The 14593-nt window shown below is 47.9% G+C and overlaps 1 long non-coding RNA gene and 1 pseudogene across 2 annotated transcripts in view, besides 1 other annotated feature; both read right to left on the minus strand.

Annotated features, from left to right (window-relative positions):
• Positions 1 to 14593, minus strand: part of LOC124902945 (uncharacterized) — an 18310-nt gene continuing 3717 nt past the window's right edge. Inside the window, exons 3-4 of one of the 2 annotated variants that reach the window (XR_007063333.1) lie at positions 4111 to 4343; positions 1 to 3048 (exon numbers count right to left, since the gene is read on the minus strand). This is a non-coding gene — a long non-coding RNA (uncharacterized LOC124902945). Of the gene's footprint in view, positions 4344 to 11437; positions 12773 to 14593 lie in introns of those variants that run through there. The other variant, XR_007063332.1, reaches the window with a different exon arrangement.
• On the minus strand, positions 4049 to 9074 carry LOC390332 (retinol dehydrogenase 16 (all-trans) pseudogene; annotated as a pseudogene).
• Positions 14070 to 14593: part of a transcriptional cis regulatory region, noted in NCBI's record as "candidate enhancer chr12.2240 targeted for multiplex CRISPR interference", that runs on past the window's edge. NCBI's record gives its function as "positively regulates TAC3 gene expression in K562 cells {active_cell/tissue: K562}" and the evidence as "EXISTENCE:mutant phenotype evidence [ECO:0000015][PMID:30612741]".

A 14593-nucleotide genomic window follows, 5' to 3' on the forward strand; every position in this document is an offset into this window, starting at 1 on the left:
CACATGCACACGTATGTTTATTACTGCACTATTTACAATAGCAAAGACTTGGAACCAACCCAAATGTCCATCAATGATAGACTGGATAAAGAAAACGTGGCACATGGCTGGGCACAGTGGCTCCTGCCTGTAAACCCAACACTTTGGGAGGCTGAGGTGGGCGGATTACGAGGTCAGGAGATCGAGACCATCCTGGCTAACACAGTGAAACCCCGTCTCTACTAAAAATACAAAAAATTAGCTGGGCGTGGTGGTGGGCGCCTGTAGTCCCAGCTATTCGGAAGGCTGAGGCAGGAGAATGGCATGAACCCAGGAGGCAGAGCTTGCAGTGAGCTGAGATCATGCCACTGTACTCCAGCCTGGGCGACAGAGCCAGATTCTGTCACAAAAAAAAAAGAAAAGAAAAAAAAAAGAAAAGAAAATGTGGCACATATACACCATGGAATACTATACAGCCATAAAAAAGAATGAGTTAATGTCCTTTGCAGGGACATGGATGACACTAGAAACTATCATTCTCAGCAAACTAACACGGGAACAGAAAACCAAACACCACATATTCTCACTCATAAGTGGGAGTTGAACAATGAGAACACATGGACACAGGGAGGGAAACATCACACATCATGGCCTGTCAGGGGGTGGGGGGCTAGGGGAGGCGTAGCATTAGGACAATACCTCATGCATGTGGGGCTTAAAACCTAGATGATGGGTTGATGCGTGCAGCAAACCACCATGGCACGTGTATACCTATGTAACAAGCCTGCACATTATTCACACACATCCCAGAACTTAAAGCAAAATAAAAAATAAAAATAAAAAAAGAACTCTGCTGCATTCTTGAATATGCCAATTGCATTTTTCAGCTCCAGAATTTCTGCTTGACTCTTTTTAATTATTTCAATCTTTTTATTAAATTTATCTGATAGAATTCTAAATTTCTTCTCTGTGTTATCTTGAATTTCTTTGAGTTTCCTCAACACAGGTATTTTGAATTCTTTGTCTGAAAGGTCACATATCTGTTTCTCCAGGATTGGTCCCTGGTCCCTTATTTAGTTCATTTGGTGAGGTCAAGTTTTCCTTCATGGTGTTGATGTTAGTAGATGTTCTTCAGTGTCTGGGAATTGAAGACTTAGGTATTTATTGTAGTCTTCACTGTCTGGGCTTATTTGTAACTGTCATTCTTGGGAAGGCTTACCAAATATTTGAAAATACTTAGGTGTTGTGATCCAAGTTGTATCTGCTTTAGGGGACACCCCACGCCTAGTAATGCTATGGTTCTTGCAGACTGGTAGAGGTACCACCTTGATAGTCTTGGACAAGATCTGAGAGAATTCTCTGGAATACCAGTCTCATTCTCTTCCCTGACTTTCTCCCAAACATACAGAATCTCTCTCTCTGTTCTGAGCCATCTAAAGCTGGGGGTGGAGTGACACAAGCACCCCTGTGTCACCACCACTATGACTGCATTGCATCAGACTTGAAGCCAGCACAGTGCTGGGTCTCGCCCAAGGCCTGCTGTACCCGGTCCCTGGCTACTACCTGTGTTTGCTCAAGGCCCTAGGGCTCTGCAGTCAGCAAGTAGCAAAGTCAGTTAGGCCTGTGCCCTTCCCTTCAGGATGGTGAGGTACCCCATACCCCATATGGGTCCAGAAGTGCTGTGCAGGAGTCAAGGACTAGAGTCAAAAACCTTAGAAGTGTACCTGATATTCTACTAAATTGTAGCTGAGTGGGCACTCAAACCACAAGACACAGTCCTTCCCACTCTTCCCTTCCTTTTCCAAAGGCAGAGGAGCCTCAACCTGCAGCCACCACCACCCCAGGCCACAGGGAGTACTGCCAGACAACTATCGATGTTCCCTTAAGGCCCAACATCTCTTCAATCAGCTTGTGGTGAATGCTGCCTGGCCTGGAACTCACCCTGCAGGTCAGCAGGCTTCCCAATGGCCCAGGGTATGTCCAGAAAATGTCATCCAAGAGTCAAGTCCCAGAATCAGGAACCACAATAGCCCACTTGGTGCTCTACCCCACTGTGGTCTTGCTGGCACCTAAGGTGTAAGACAAAGTCCCTTTACTTTTCTCTCTGCTTTACTCAAGCAGGAGTCTCTCTCCATAGCCAACATAGCTGGCAATGTCCCGAGTCTCACCTGAAGCCATCAAGGTTCAGAGGCTCACCCAAGGCCTTTGATTAGCACCTAGGAATTACTGGTTATTCAGGGCCCAAGTTCTCTTCAGATAGCAGGTGATGAATGCTGTTAGCATTGGGTCCTTTCCCTTCTGGCCCAGGGTCTGTCTAGTAATGTCATATGGGAGCTAGGACTTGAAACAGGGGCCTCATGACTCTGATCATTGCCCTATCTTGCTGTAGCTGAGCTGGTATCCAAGATGCAAGACAAAACCCTTCCCACTCTTCCCTCTCCTCTGCTCAAGTAGAAAAAAGGGGTCTCCTTTGGAGCCTCAGGTTGTGCAGACTGGAGTTAGGGGAGGGGTGATGCCGACATTCCCTTGGCTGCCCCAGCTGGTGTCTCAGTATGTCACATGTCCCCCTAATCCACTGTCTCTGGGCCTAGTTCTGCACTAGGCCTCACCTAGGAGTTGCGGTCCTTATGACATAGACTGCCTTTCAGGTTTACTTGGAGACACAGAATGTTGTAGCCCTTGGTGGCGAGGTTCATGGGCACTCAAGTTAGGACTGCTGGGATCAGCGATTCCCCTGTGGCTAGGGGTGGTTTAAATGCTCCCTCCCCAGGCAGGCATCAGCTGAGTTTGGTGTGGTTTTCCTCTCTGCTCTAACAGGACAGCCCTGAGGTCAGTGCCTCACAATTACTGTGTTCTCCCTCCCCCAGCACTCAGAGGCACTCTCAGCACCATGCCTCTGCAGCCAGGGTTTGGGGAGGGACAGTGTCTGTGACTCATGACTGTTTTTTTCTATCTCTTCAGTGCCTCTTTTAGCAATATGAAATTAAAACCAGGTAAAATGAGTGCTCACCTGATTGTTCGTTCTATGAAGGTGTTCTTTTCTGTGTAGATAGTTGTTAACTTGTTGTCCTGGTAGGGGTGGGGAGTGGAGAAGGATTTGTGAAGCCTTCTATTCCACCATCTTTCTCCATCCTCTCCTCATTGCATGTCTTTTGTTTGTTTGGGGTTTTTTTCTTCGTTTGTTTTTGAGACAGAGTATCATTCTGCCACCCAGGCTAGAGTGCAGTGGCGCCATCTTGGCTTACTGCAACCTCTGCCTCCCAGGCTCAAGTGATCTTCCTACCTCAACCTTTTGAGTAGCTGAACTACAGGCATGCACCAACATGCCCAGCTAATTTTTGCATTTCTGATAGAGTTTGGGTTTCGCCATGTTGCCCAGGCTGGTCTTGAATGCCCGAGCTCAGATAATTCACCCGCTTTGGCCTACCAAAGTGCTAGGATTACAGGTGTCAGCTACCACACCCAGCCTCATTACGTGTTTTAAATTCGGTGGCCCTGCAACATCTGACCTCACTACCTGTTTTTACACTGAACATGATTTGTTCAATGACACAGGGCTCTCTAAAGGCTCCATATCCTGGACTTTTAACCTGAAATCAGTAAAATGAGAAACCAGAGACGGTACCCTGTAACTACAATTTGTACTGAGCCCAGGAATCTGTACCCCTTTCTCCTAATGCTTTCTCTGTTGAGTTCACACTTGCAACATCATCAGAACACCGAAGACACTGAGGATGAGGACTAGGTAATTCAAGATAATTTCTCTCCAGCACACAGCAGGGGCTCAACAAAGGGAGGGAAAACAAGAAAGATGAGTCCAGACGTGACTTTCACTCCCTGCCACTGGAGGAGGGGGTGTGTTGGGATATGGTGGGGGACCTTGAGGGATGGCAACAGGGAAAGTGCAATGACTTTAAAGTAAGGGCCGGTCACTGAGGGCCACAGAGAGGGCACAGGTGAGGGGAGGAGGCTTCAGTTGCCCCAGGGAAGGGACCTGGGGCCTGCCAGTGCCTTATTGACATCTCCTTGCTGGCTTGTCCTTAGGTCTATTTCTGTGACAGGGGTAACCTATTTCTCTCCCCATGATACATCGCCCCTTATGGCATACCCCAAATCCATGAAAACATGCACCTGAGTCTTGGCTTCACAGGCCCTTGGCCAGCCTTGGAGAACCTAGTGGAGCATGGCATCCGCCAGGAAGGTAGACATGTAGGTCATGGGGAGGTAGAGAAGCTTGGTGTCCCAGCCAGCTGTGTAGCAAGTGCAGGGGTGGCAGGCGGTCAGCACATGCTCCATGCAGTCAGTCACCAATGATAGATTTGTATTGCATTTTGACCAAAGGCTCCTAGGTGCTTTTCTGAGGCCTGTTCAGAATGAGAAAACATCCTTAATGTACTAGCACATCCCTCCCCTCCCATTTAGAGCTCTGAATTGGAAGGAGAGTGTCTAAGAATCCCTGGGCCCCTCAATGATATGCCTCAAGTCTAATCCACCCATATTCCCCAGGGAGTGCCCCAACCCTCACTGCAGCAAAACCTGTTCCACACTAAGCCCCCTCTGCCTCTCTTCCTGAGATATCTGGACTGCATAAATTGAAGGTCTCTACTAACAGCCTAAGAACATGAAAATCAGCTGTCTCTAAACCCAGCTGCCCATGAGCCCACAGGTGTCCACCCTCTCTGGCTTTAGTTTCCTCTTCAAAATAACGAGAGGTTCAGATTAGCCAGTGGTTTCAATTATAGGAGCTTCAATTCTTCTTTTAGGTGACCAGTTGACCACACAGCTAAATGGACTAAATGTCCTCACTTTGTTGGGGAGGCAGAGTTTGGAGGACAGATTCTCATACTGTTGGAGGCACTAATGATGGACCCAGACTTCTAGACAAGGATTTCTTTATCTCCCCACTGTCCACAGCTCACTCACGGGATATCAGAAACTTCTCCCCATACGTCTCCTTGACCTCGGGGCTGGCCTAGTCCGACAGCTCCTTGAGGTTCTGTAAATGCCTCTCAGAGCCGGCCATACTGGTCCTGAAGTGACCAGGTTCAATCACAGACACCTTCACTCCAAAGTGGGAGAGCTCCCTCCTGCATGGCAGACATGCAGAAGGGCAAGGACTTAAGAAATTTTGGGAGGCAAAATACAAAAAACAAAGAAACCCAATACAAACCCAGCATGCAACGACAGTGGGAGATGCAAGAAAGCTTGGAGAGTTGGGAAGGGCAGCAGATAGCAGATAAAAGTTATGATGGTGGCCTTGCCTCTCTCTGGGGTTTCCATATTTTACATACCAAAGCTTACTAGCCCTAAGTCCTACCAGTTCAAGAGCAAGGCAGCATCTCAGTGCTATCACCTCCTATGCCCCTCACATCCAATGGATCACCAGAATTCCCACATTCTACCTCCTCTGCAGTCCTCAGTCCCCTCCCTTCTTCTCCTGCCCCAGGAATCTCCCTGGCCTCTGAGCTGGGTGATGGCAGCTGTCCTCTAAGGAGCGTCCCTCTGCCTTCAGTCTGGCTCCCCACACTCACAGCCACTGGGCTCCCTGCAGTAAGTGGGTGTCTAGAAGCCGATTAGACCAAAGAGCTCCCCTGAGCAAATCCCTTTTTTGGGGGTTCCACTGCCAACAGTATGAGGCACAGCTCCTGTCCAGGGCCTCCACGAGCCCATATGCGCCCACCTGCCCAGCCTCCTCCACAGGCCTGGCCCTGTGCTTCACCTCATGAGGACCCCACAGCACAGGCAGGCAGCTGAGGCTCCCCCTAGGCCTGGGCTGAAGACAAAAGTCATTCCCCCATTTCTGTCCAAGGCTGCCAGGTGGGGATCCTCAATCTCCAGCTCAGACCCCATCTCCAGGAGCTTCCCCAATCCAGGAGGCTGCCATGGCCACCAGGGCTGACTGGGTCACAACCCCTTTGAGAACTGGCAACAATGGTTCTGGCTCTCTTGCTCCTCTCTCAGGTGTCAGAGCTTTTAGGTCAGGGCCAAAACCCTGTTGCTGTCCTGGGCTGAGTTTATTGGGCACTCATCCAAGGGCCTAAAAAGTCTGTTGTATGGACTAAGATGCTCACCCCATGTCTCCTAGGCTCCCTGCAACTGCATGTCACAGTGGCTTCATTCTGGGCTCTGGAGCCAAACATGTCAGTTCCAGTCTGCCTCAGACATTTTCTGCCTATGGGACCCCCTCAATAGGGTCAAAGGTGAGTTACAGGAACTGTTTGGTCTGGGGCCCCTCCCTCCCCAGAACATGGAGAAGCTGTTCCCAAGAAGTGGCTGGCTAAATCCATAAGGGCAACAGCACACACAGGATGAGAGAGAGGGATCTCAATAAGGGGCCTCTAAGGCTACAATTACATAAAACTACTGCAAATGGTTCCCACAGAAGAACAGGTGCAGGAGGATGAGGGAGGGCCCTGTCCCAGGCCAATACCAGAGGGAGTCGGAGAAGGCCTCCACGCTGTACTTGGAGATGCAGTAGCCTGCACCAAAAAGTGAAACCCGGCCTGCGATGCTGGAGAGGTTGACCATGCAGCCCCTGGCCTTCCTCATTAGGGCAGCAGGATCAGAGTCACATCAATCATCCCCAACAGGTTCATGTCCAGTTCCATCACAAAGTTGGTCACTTTGTGACCAACAGGTCACAAAGTCCTGTTCCATCAACTACTCATTGCAGCTGGAGGGCAGGCAGATGCCAGAGTTATTCACCAGGCCCCAGAGTCCTGGGATGGCCAGAAGATGAGAGCATCACTCTTGTGTTTGTGCAGGTGGACACAGTTAGGGTGCAAGTTCATTTTCTAGTTCAATGTATTTATTGAGTCAACAAGTGTGCTACATGGAATAAGGGAAAGGAGTGGAGGAGAGGAAACAAGGATGGGGAGGCTTCAGAGTTTCAAGGTTTGCACCCATTTCAAGGTATTGGGGGGTGAGGGGTGGTCCTTCCCATCTCTGCTCCTAGTGCCTGGCACCCAGCATGCAGTAAAGCCAATGCTGTGAAGTGCATGGACAGAACTTGAGAAAACAGAATGAGGGTCCAACAAATATCTCTCCAGGGGAGAGAGACAGAGACAGGAAATAGGAAGACAGGAATGGGCTAAGACAGAGAAACCAAGGGGAAAGGACAGAAGAGAAAAAGAAAAAGGAAAGAATAAGAAAAACACATGAGTAATTACTTTCTGCATCCTGTTTAGGAGAGATACACTTAAATCCTAAGACTAGGGGAAGTTAGAGAGCAGGCCTGCACTGGGCATCAGGGGACAAGCTGTGCTACAACCTGCATCAATGTCAAGGCAATATCTGTCCTGGAAGAAAAGGTCACCTTGTGTACCTGGGAATCCCAAAGCTCACTGTGGACTGAATGGCCAGAGCAGGAGGGGAGGAGGGAAAGAGGTCTCATGCCACACAGGTGTCCAGACTGCACTCTCTGCCCCAGGAAGTACCACCTTTTCCTCCCACCATCTCATAAGGCCACCTCTGCCCTATCCCCATAGGGTCCAGCAAGCTTTGGGGAAGACTCTACAGAAGACATAGGGGAGCAAACTAATAGCATGAAAGATCTGGAGTAGTCAGAGCTACAGAACTACGGACTCCAGGCCAGCAGGGGCAGGGGTGTGAGTGGGTGAGGGCTGGGGGGTACAGGAGACGGAGACTGACCCTAGGAATATTGGAAAAACAATAAGGCCTGCAATGGTGGCCCTTCCCCTACTCAGAAACCTTTCCTGGACTTGAAGGAATGAGGATTCTTTGATTCAATAGTTGTACTTTTCTTGAATAGCACTGCTAAGCCTGTCAACAAACCTTGGTAGAGAATCGCTACTGAGATGTTATTTATGCCAGGAAAAGTGGGTAACAAACTTCGGCATTCAACAATATAGAATCCCTTTAACAAATTATGGCCTCTCCACATGCTGGAATATGGAGACCTTGATTGTTATGTTGGGGAAGAAACTTGATGATGAAAATGCTGACCCCAGAATGTGTAAAGTAGAGGGAAATTAACCCTGGAGGCTGGGATTAGGGGGAATGTTGTTTCACTCTCATCCTCTTCTATGATTTCTCCAATGAGAAATCCTATCTTATCCTCCTATCTATCCAATCTTATCCTCTTCTATAATTTCTTCATGTTTTCCATTTACAATCAGAACAAAGCAATCAATGATCTCCCTTTCCCCAAAAGGAACAGGATTCATCACTCGGTGTTTGATGTGAAGTCCCTTCAGCTCTCCAAGCCCCAGTGTCCTCGTGAATCAAGCGGAGATCATCTTAAAGCCCTCAACAGGGACAAGTGTGAAGGAACCAGTAAGAGAATGCTGAGATCAGAAGCCTGGATCCTGCCCAGCCCCATCCCCGATGGTCTCATGCCAACCGTCAGGACCCAACGTTATCCAGAGACTGGGCTCTAACCACAGCCTGGACTCCTCTAACCCTGGGCCCAGCCACAACCACTCTAGGACTTCTGCTTTGGAAAACAGAAAGCTCAAGCCCCCGAAAATAAAAGTCCTGGAAATGTTCCCAGTTAGCAGACACTAGGTCTCCCCTAGTGACACAGAGAGAAGAGAAACAAACAGGCACTAGGAGGGATTGAGGTGGTCCCTCTGTCCCCCACACACTCCTTCACCCACTGGGCAGCTGCAGCAATGCTCTCTGTCTTGGTGATGTCCATGGTCACCGTCTCCAGCCTGTCTGAAGTCTGGCCCCTCAGCTGCTTGGTCCCCTTCTCTGTCCTACATGCAGCTCCCGCAAGCCTGTGCATTCAGTTGTCTGGCCAGTAGCTTCCTGAAGCGTGAGTCACAGCTCATGATGAACACGTACTTGTCTCTCAGGTGACTCACCACCTGCCTCTCCCAGTACCAGTGCAGAAGGTAGTATAGGCCCAGGAGGACCGCCAGGTAGAGCCACATGGCTTTGCAGAGGACAGACCCAGACGGGCTGGGGTGAAGTGAGAGTCTGGCCTCTGTTCAGACAGGAGGACTTAAGAACACAGAGGGCTGAGGTAGGCAGGGAAGCCCTCAGGCATTTTGGCAGAAAGTCCTCACTTTCCTCTCTGATCACTGTCTTTCTGCACCATTTTTTATCCTGGCTTCATCTCTCTGCTCTTTCAACTGCCTTTGCAGGTGTTCATGCATGCAACTGCAAACCCCAAGCTCTGCCCAGTGAGTAGTTATCACTACTCAGCAATGCTTCCCTAGTCCACCAATGCCTCTCTGCCTTGCTGTGCCTACTCAGGTGTCCACACAGGGGCCCACACACACACACCATGAAACACACCACTCTGATCTACAAACAAGGGTCAGAACTTGTCTCTACATATCTTGTGATATGGTTTGGATATTTGTGCCACCAAAATTGCATGTTGAAATGCGTTCCCCAATATTGGAGGCAGGAGCTGGTGGGAGGTGTTGGGTCATGGTAGTGGATCCCTCATGGCTTGGTGCTGTCCTGGAGACACTGGAATGAGTTGTGATGGGATCTGGTTGTTTAAAAGTGTGGCACCTCCCCAGCTCTCTCTTTCTTGCTCCCACTTGCCATGTGACAAATCAGCTCCCCCTTTGACTTCTGCAGTGATTATAAGCTTCCTGATGCCTCACCAGGAGCCAAGCAGATGCATGCTTGTACAGCCTGCAGAACCATGAGCCAATTAAACCTGTTTTCTTTATAAATTACCCAGTCTCAGGTATTTATTATAGCAACACAAGAACGGCCTAACACACATTGTATACCAACACTCCTGGACCATGGTCTCCCAGAAAACAGACTTTACTGGGAAGCTACACATGGTTTCCAGGCACATTCAGTGGAAATCCTGCTCTGAGCCTGAGTTTCCTCATCCCACCCAGCATCCAGAATCAATCACTCCCCAGAAAAGTAGGGCACGATCAGGCTCTCTAGGATGAGAAGGAGAAGGCAAAAAAGTGAACAAGAGCAAGTCCCCTCCTGCTACAGTAGTTTTCTGGGGCAGAAAGATGTGGAACACCCACAGGGAGAGTCCAACCTCACAGGTAAAGAAAGGGGAAAGAAGGGAATGGAGCCTTGGAACCCACAGGAAGGAAGTACCCAGGGCTGCTGGGAAGGGGAATGGAATGACTTATGCAGGTGTCACAGGGCTCACCTGCTCACCTCCTGATATGCCCTGGGTGCTGGCTCCACTGCCCTCTGCCCTCCCCTGTCAGGGCCCACATCCAGGATCTGGACCCCTCAGACACTGAGAGGCTAAAAACATTGCTCATTTGAACAAGGACAATGAGGATGGTGGTCCAAAACCTTGCCCAAGCAGGGAAGGATATGAACCCTAGTAACTGTAAAGGTATTACTTCAGTTTGTATCAGGGTGTTGATGGACAGGAGGGATCTCCTTCTCAGGAGACTACAGAAAGGGGTACAGACTGGACCTCTGCTGTCCATGGAGGGTCCCTCGGTGTGAGGTCGAGGAAACTATTTCATAACTGGTGGGCAGGATGTAGAGGGGCAGGGAGCTGGGGGAGTAGGTGTGGGACAGAATAATCCAGGGTTTATTTGCACTGGGCCTCTCTCCCACTGTCCATGTTTGCCCAATTTCTGTCCCCTAATTGAAGGAAGAAGTGGAGATGGACTGGGAGGGGGAAGGAGAGGTTTCCTGCAGAAACCAGAGGCTAGCAAAGAGCCGCGCGCCCCCTGGTGGTTCTTCTCTAGCCCTGCAGTCACGACGTGGGCATCGGCCTGGGATCAGCCAAGGCTCTTCAGCTCATCCCAATGGCCACTCTCTCCAGCATCGGGGAGCCCCCATATCTCCCTGCACGGATCCTCCAAGAAGGAGGGAAACAGCAAGACTGCTGGCTGGTAAGAGACTGGACTACTGTTAATTAAGCAACATGGATGGTGCCTTGAGTGTGCTGCATACTAGAGGTTTGACAGACTCGGAGCCCCTTGAGGGCTCCGAGACTGAGTCCAGTCATTTTTGTATTTCCAGCCCCGGCAGTGCTAGCTTCTAGCAGAGATGAAGGAATGTTGAGGTAGCTGACACTGCAACATCTGGCTTCGCTTTCCATTTTCATCACTATTTCTTACATCATGCGACAATATGAGATTTCCTAAAGCCTCCATTTTTCTCATCTTTATAACGAGGGAGGAGAATCAAGATGACTTTGTCAAGTCCTCCCATCTCCAATTTCAGGGAGTCTAAGAATCCATATGCCTTTATTAAAATGGTGAAAACTTAGAAAGATGGGGTCTTGGGAAGCACTGGAGAATTTCTGACCAGCATACATTAGGTGCTCAACAAAAGTTAACAGAAACGGAAGAAATCTGGAACCAACAAGAGACTTACCACATCTACAGAGAGGCTGGGGGAGGGGTGCAGATCAGGAGATGGGAGAGTGAGGGAGAAACAGAAGCTGGGAGAGATAGGAGACCAAAGGAAGGGGGAAGGGTGGCGGCATGCGGGGAGGCTGCTAGTGCTGTAGGCGGCAGAGGGATATTAATAGTACCTGGGGCCCTTCCAGTCTCTTATCAGTCTTTTCAAGCTTCCTCTTCCTTAGACTGATGTCACACCCTCCCTTCTCACACTTGGGAAATCACAGAGGAAACAGTTGTCCTTCATCTAGTGAAAGATAGGGAATGGGAAGCAAAGACATTCACTTTCCCCTTTTCAAATCCCTCCGAGATCATCCTACAAATCCCTCAGCCTTCATGAAGGAGACACCTCCTTCCTCATGCAAGAAATTTCCTAGAATTCCCAGGGCTGAGTCAGCTCCACACAAGTGGATACCCAACATTGCTGTTTTTATCCTGACCCCAGTCTAGCAGAAGCTCTCCAAGGGTCATTTTTTTTTAAAGCTTTTGGACATCATGGGCCCCTTCGAGAATCTAAGGAAGGTTATAAGCCCCCCACATAACACAACAATCAAAAACTTGCTTATACTTTTCATACAGTTCACACCTAAAACCATTAGCTGCATGGAATCCAGCTCAAGAATCCTTGTAATATGGGCTTATTGACCTACTAGCTGTGTGACTGGGGCAAGTTATTTAAAGTTTCTGTGCTTCAGTTTCCTTGTCGATGGTAGTACCCACTCCATGAAGTTGTTATGAGGATTAAATGAGGTGATATGGATAAAGCCCCTTACAACTGTGTCTAGCCAATGGTGCGTATTCAATAAACATCAGCTGTTACTATTACTACATTTCTCTGTGGTAATTCATAGTGACATTTGGGAATGTTCCCACCCTTCTATGTAAAAAACACAACCCAAGACAGCCAAATAAAAGAGGAGGCTCATGTTGATCTAATTCAGAGAGGAAAAAAATGGCTGGTGGTAATAGGACTAGAGAGGTCTCTCAGTGTCAATTCCACAAGATGGGATTCCTTTTTCCTTATCCCCATGAAGTGGAAAAGGAGCATGCTTGTATATATTATCTCATGTATCCCATATAATAACCTGTAAGGGAAGCATCATTATCCTCACTTTACATATTAAGAAACTGACATTAAACTCCTATCTCTCACCAGACACAAAAATCAACTCAAGATGGATTAAAGACTTACATATAAGACCCAAAACTATTATTAAATTATTAGAAGAAAATCTAGTATTGCAGGAAAAATCTACTATCTAGTATAAGGAAAAGTCTCCTGGACATTGGACTAGGCAAAGAATTTATGACTAAGATCTCAGAAGCACAGGCAACAAAAACAAAAATAAACAACTGGGACTTAACTAAACTAAAAAGCTCTGCACAACAAAAGAAATAAGCAACAGAATGAACAACCCGCAGAACTGGAGAAAATATTTGTAAACTATTCATCTGACAGGGGAGATATCCAAAATATACAAAGAACTCGAGCAAGAAAAAAAAAAACCCCACAAATAATCCCACTAAAATGTGGGCAAATGACATGAATAGACATTTTTCAAAAGAAGACATTTTTCAAAAGACATTTTTCAAATGGCCAACAGATATATGAAAAAATGCTCAACATCACTAATCATCAGAGGAATGCAAATAAAAACCATGACGCGATATCATCGTACCCCAGTCAGAATGGCTATTATTAAAAAGATAAAAAAAAAAACAGATGTTGGCAAGAATGTGGAGCACAGAGAACTCTTAGACATTGCTGGTGGGAATGTGAACTAGTACAACTTCTATGGAAAACAGTATGCAGATTTTTCAAAAAACTAAAAGTAGAACTGCCATTCGACCCAGCAATCCCACTACTGGGTATTTACTCAAAGGGGAAGAAATCAGTACATTAAAAAGACACCTGCACTAGTATGTTTATCACAGCCCTATTCACAATAGCAAAGACATGGAATCAACCTAAGTGTCCATCAACGAATAAAAGGATAAAGAAAATGTGGTATATATACACAATGGAATACTATTTGGCCATAAAAAGGAATGAAATTATGTCTTTTGCAGCAATGTGGATGGAACTGGAGATCATTATTTTAAGTAAAACAATCGAGGCACAGAAAATCAAATATTGCATGTTCTCACTCATAATGTGAGTGCTAAAAGATGTGTACACATGGATGTGGAGAGTGAAATGGTAAACAGTGAAAACTTGGAAGGAAGAGGGAATGGGAGAGGAGTGGATGATGAGAAATTAGTCAATGGGTACAATGCATGTTATGCTTGTGGTGGATACCCTAAAAGCCCTGGCTTGACCAACATGCAACCTATTCATGTAACAAAACTGCACATGTACCACATCAATCTGTACAAATAAATATTTAAAAACAAAAAACAAAAGAAAAGAAACTGAGATTCAGAAAGGTTAAGTGACCTGCCCAAGATCACACAGCTACCAAGTGGTGGAAAAAAGTGTCAAAAACAGGTCTGACTCAAAAACTGGTGTTATCTCCACAGTGTCTCGTGAAGGGCCGGTGAAGAGGGAAGAACTGAGCAGAGAGAGCCAAGGACAGGGTAGTGGGGCACAGGCTTTGAGGAGCCTGGAAAGCTCCTAATCTGGTACTTCTGGGCAAACCAGATTCCTCTCTAGCTTGGGGAAGCTGGTGGCAGGAGGGCAGAACAACCTCCACGACTAGACTTGGCTTCCTGACTCAGTGGCCTTCTGGAAGTTCACACTGTGGACGCGAGTGCAATTACTGCCAAATCCCTCAGCCTTAACCTGTCCACAAAGCACCTGCCTCCACCCCATAAGCCAGGCACGTGGGTTGATCCCTGGGACAGCCTGCCTCACCCCTTCTGCCAGGGTCCAAGCACAGCCCTTTGCCTAACCTGACCCTGGAAAGTCGTCTGCCTTTATCTCTGCCTCCCAATACCTCCTCCCTGGTACCTTCCTTCCTTTCTGATTGTTGATCGCAAAATCTTGTCTACACTTTTTTGGGGAAAAAAAGTGGGGCGGGGAGGAAAAAGAGTAAATTTCCAGGAATTGTTTCACTGCTGCTGTTTCTGCTGCATAGGGCAAAGCTGCTGGCCTGCTCCTTTTGCCCAGGTTGGCGAGGAGCCTGGCCTCCTGCTCCTCCCTCTTTCTCTTCCTCCCAGTCTCTCTCTTTCCAGCTGCACCCCACCCCCTAAAAAGCCCCACATGAAAACTGCAGAGCTATCACTTATTTCTTCCTGAGGGAGGAGCTTTCCCTCTGAGCCTCTGCCAGAAGGAACCACCATCACTTCCT

This window comes from Homo sapiens, chromosome 12 (assembly GCF_000001405.40).
Source record: "Homo sapiens chromosome 12, GRCh38.p14 Primary Assembly".
Taxonomy (NCBI): domain Eukaryota; kingdom Metazoa; phylum Chordata; class Mammalia; order Primates; family Hominidae; genus Homo; species Homo sapiens.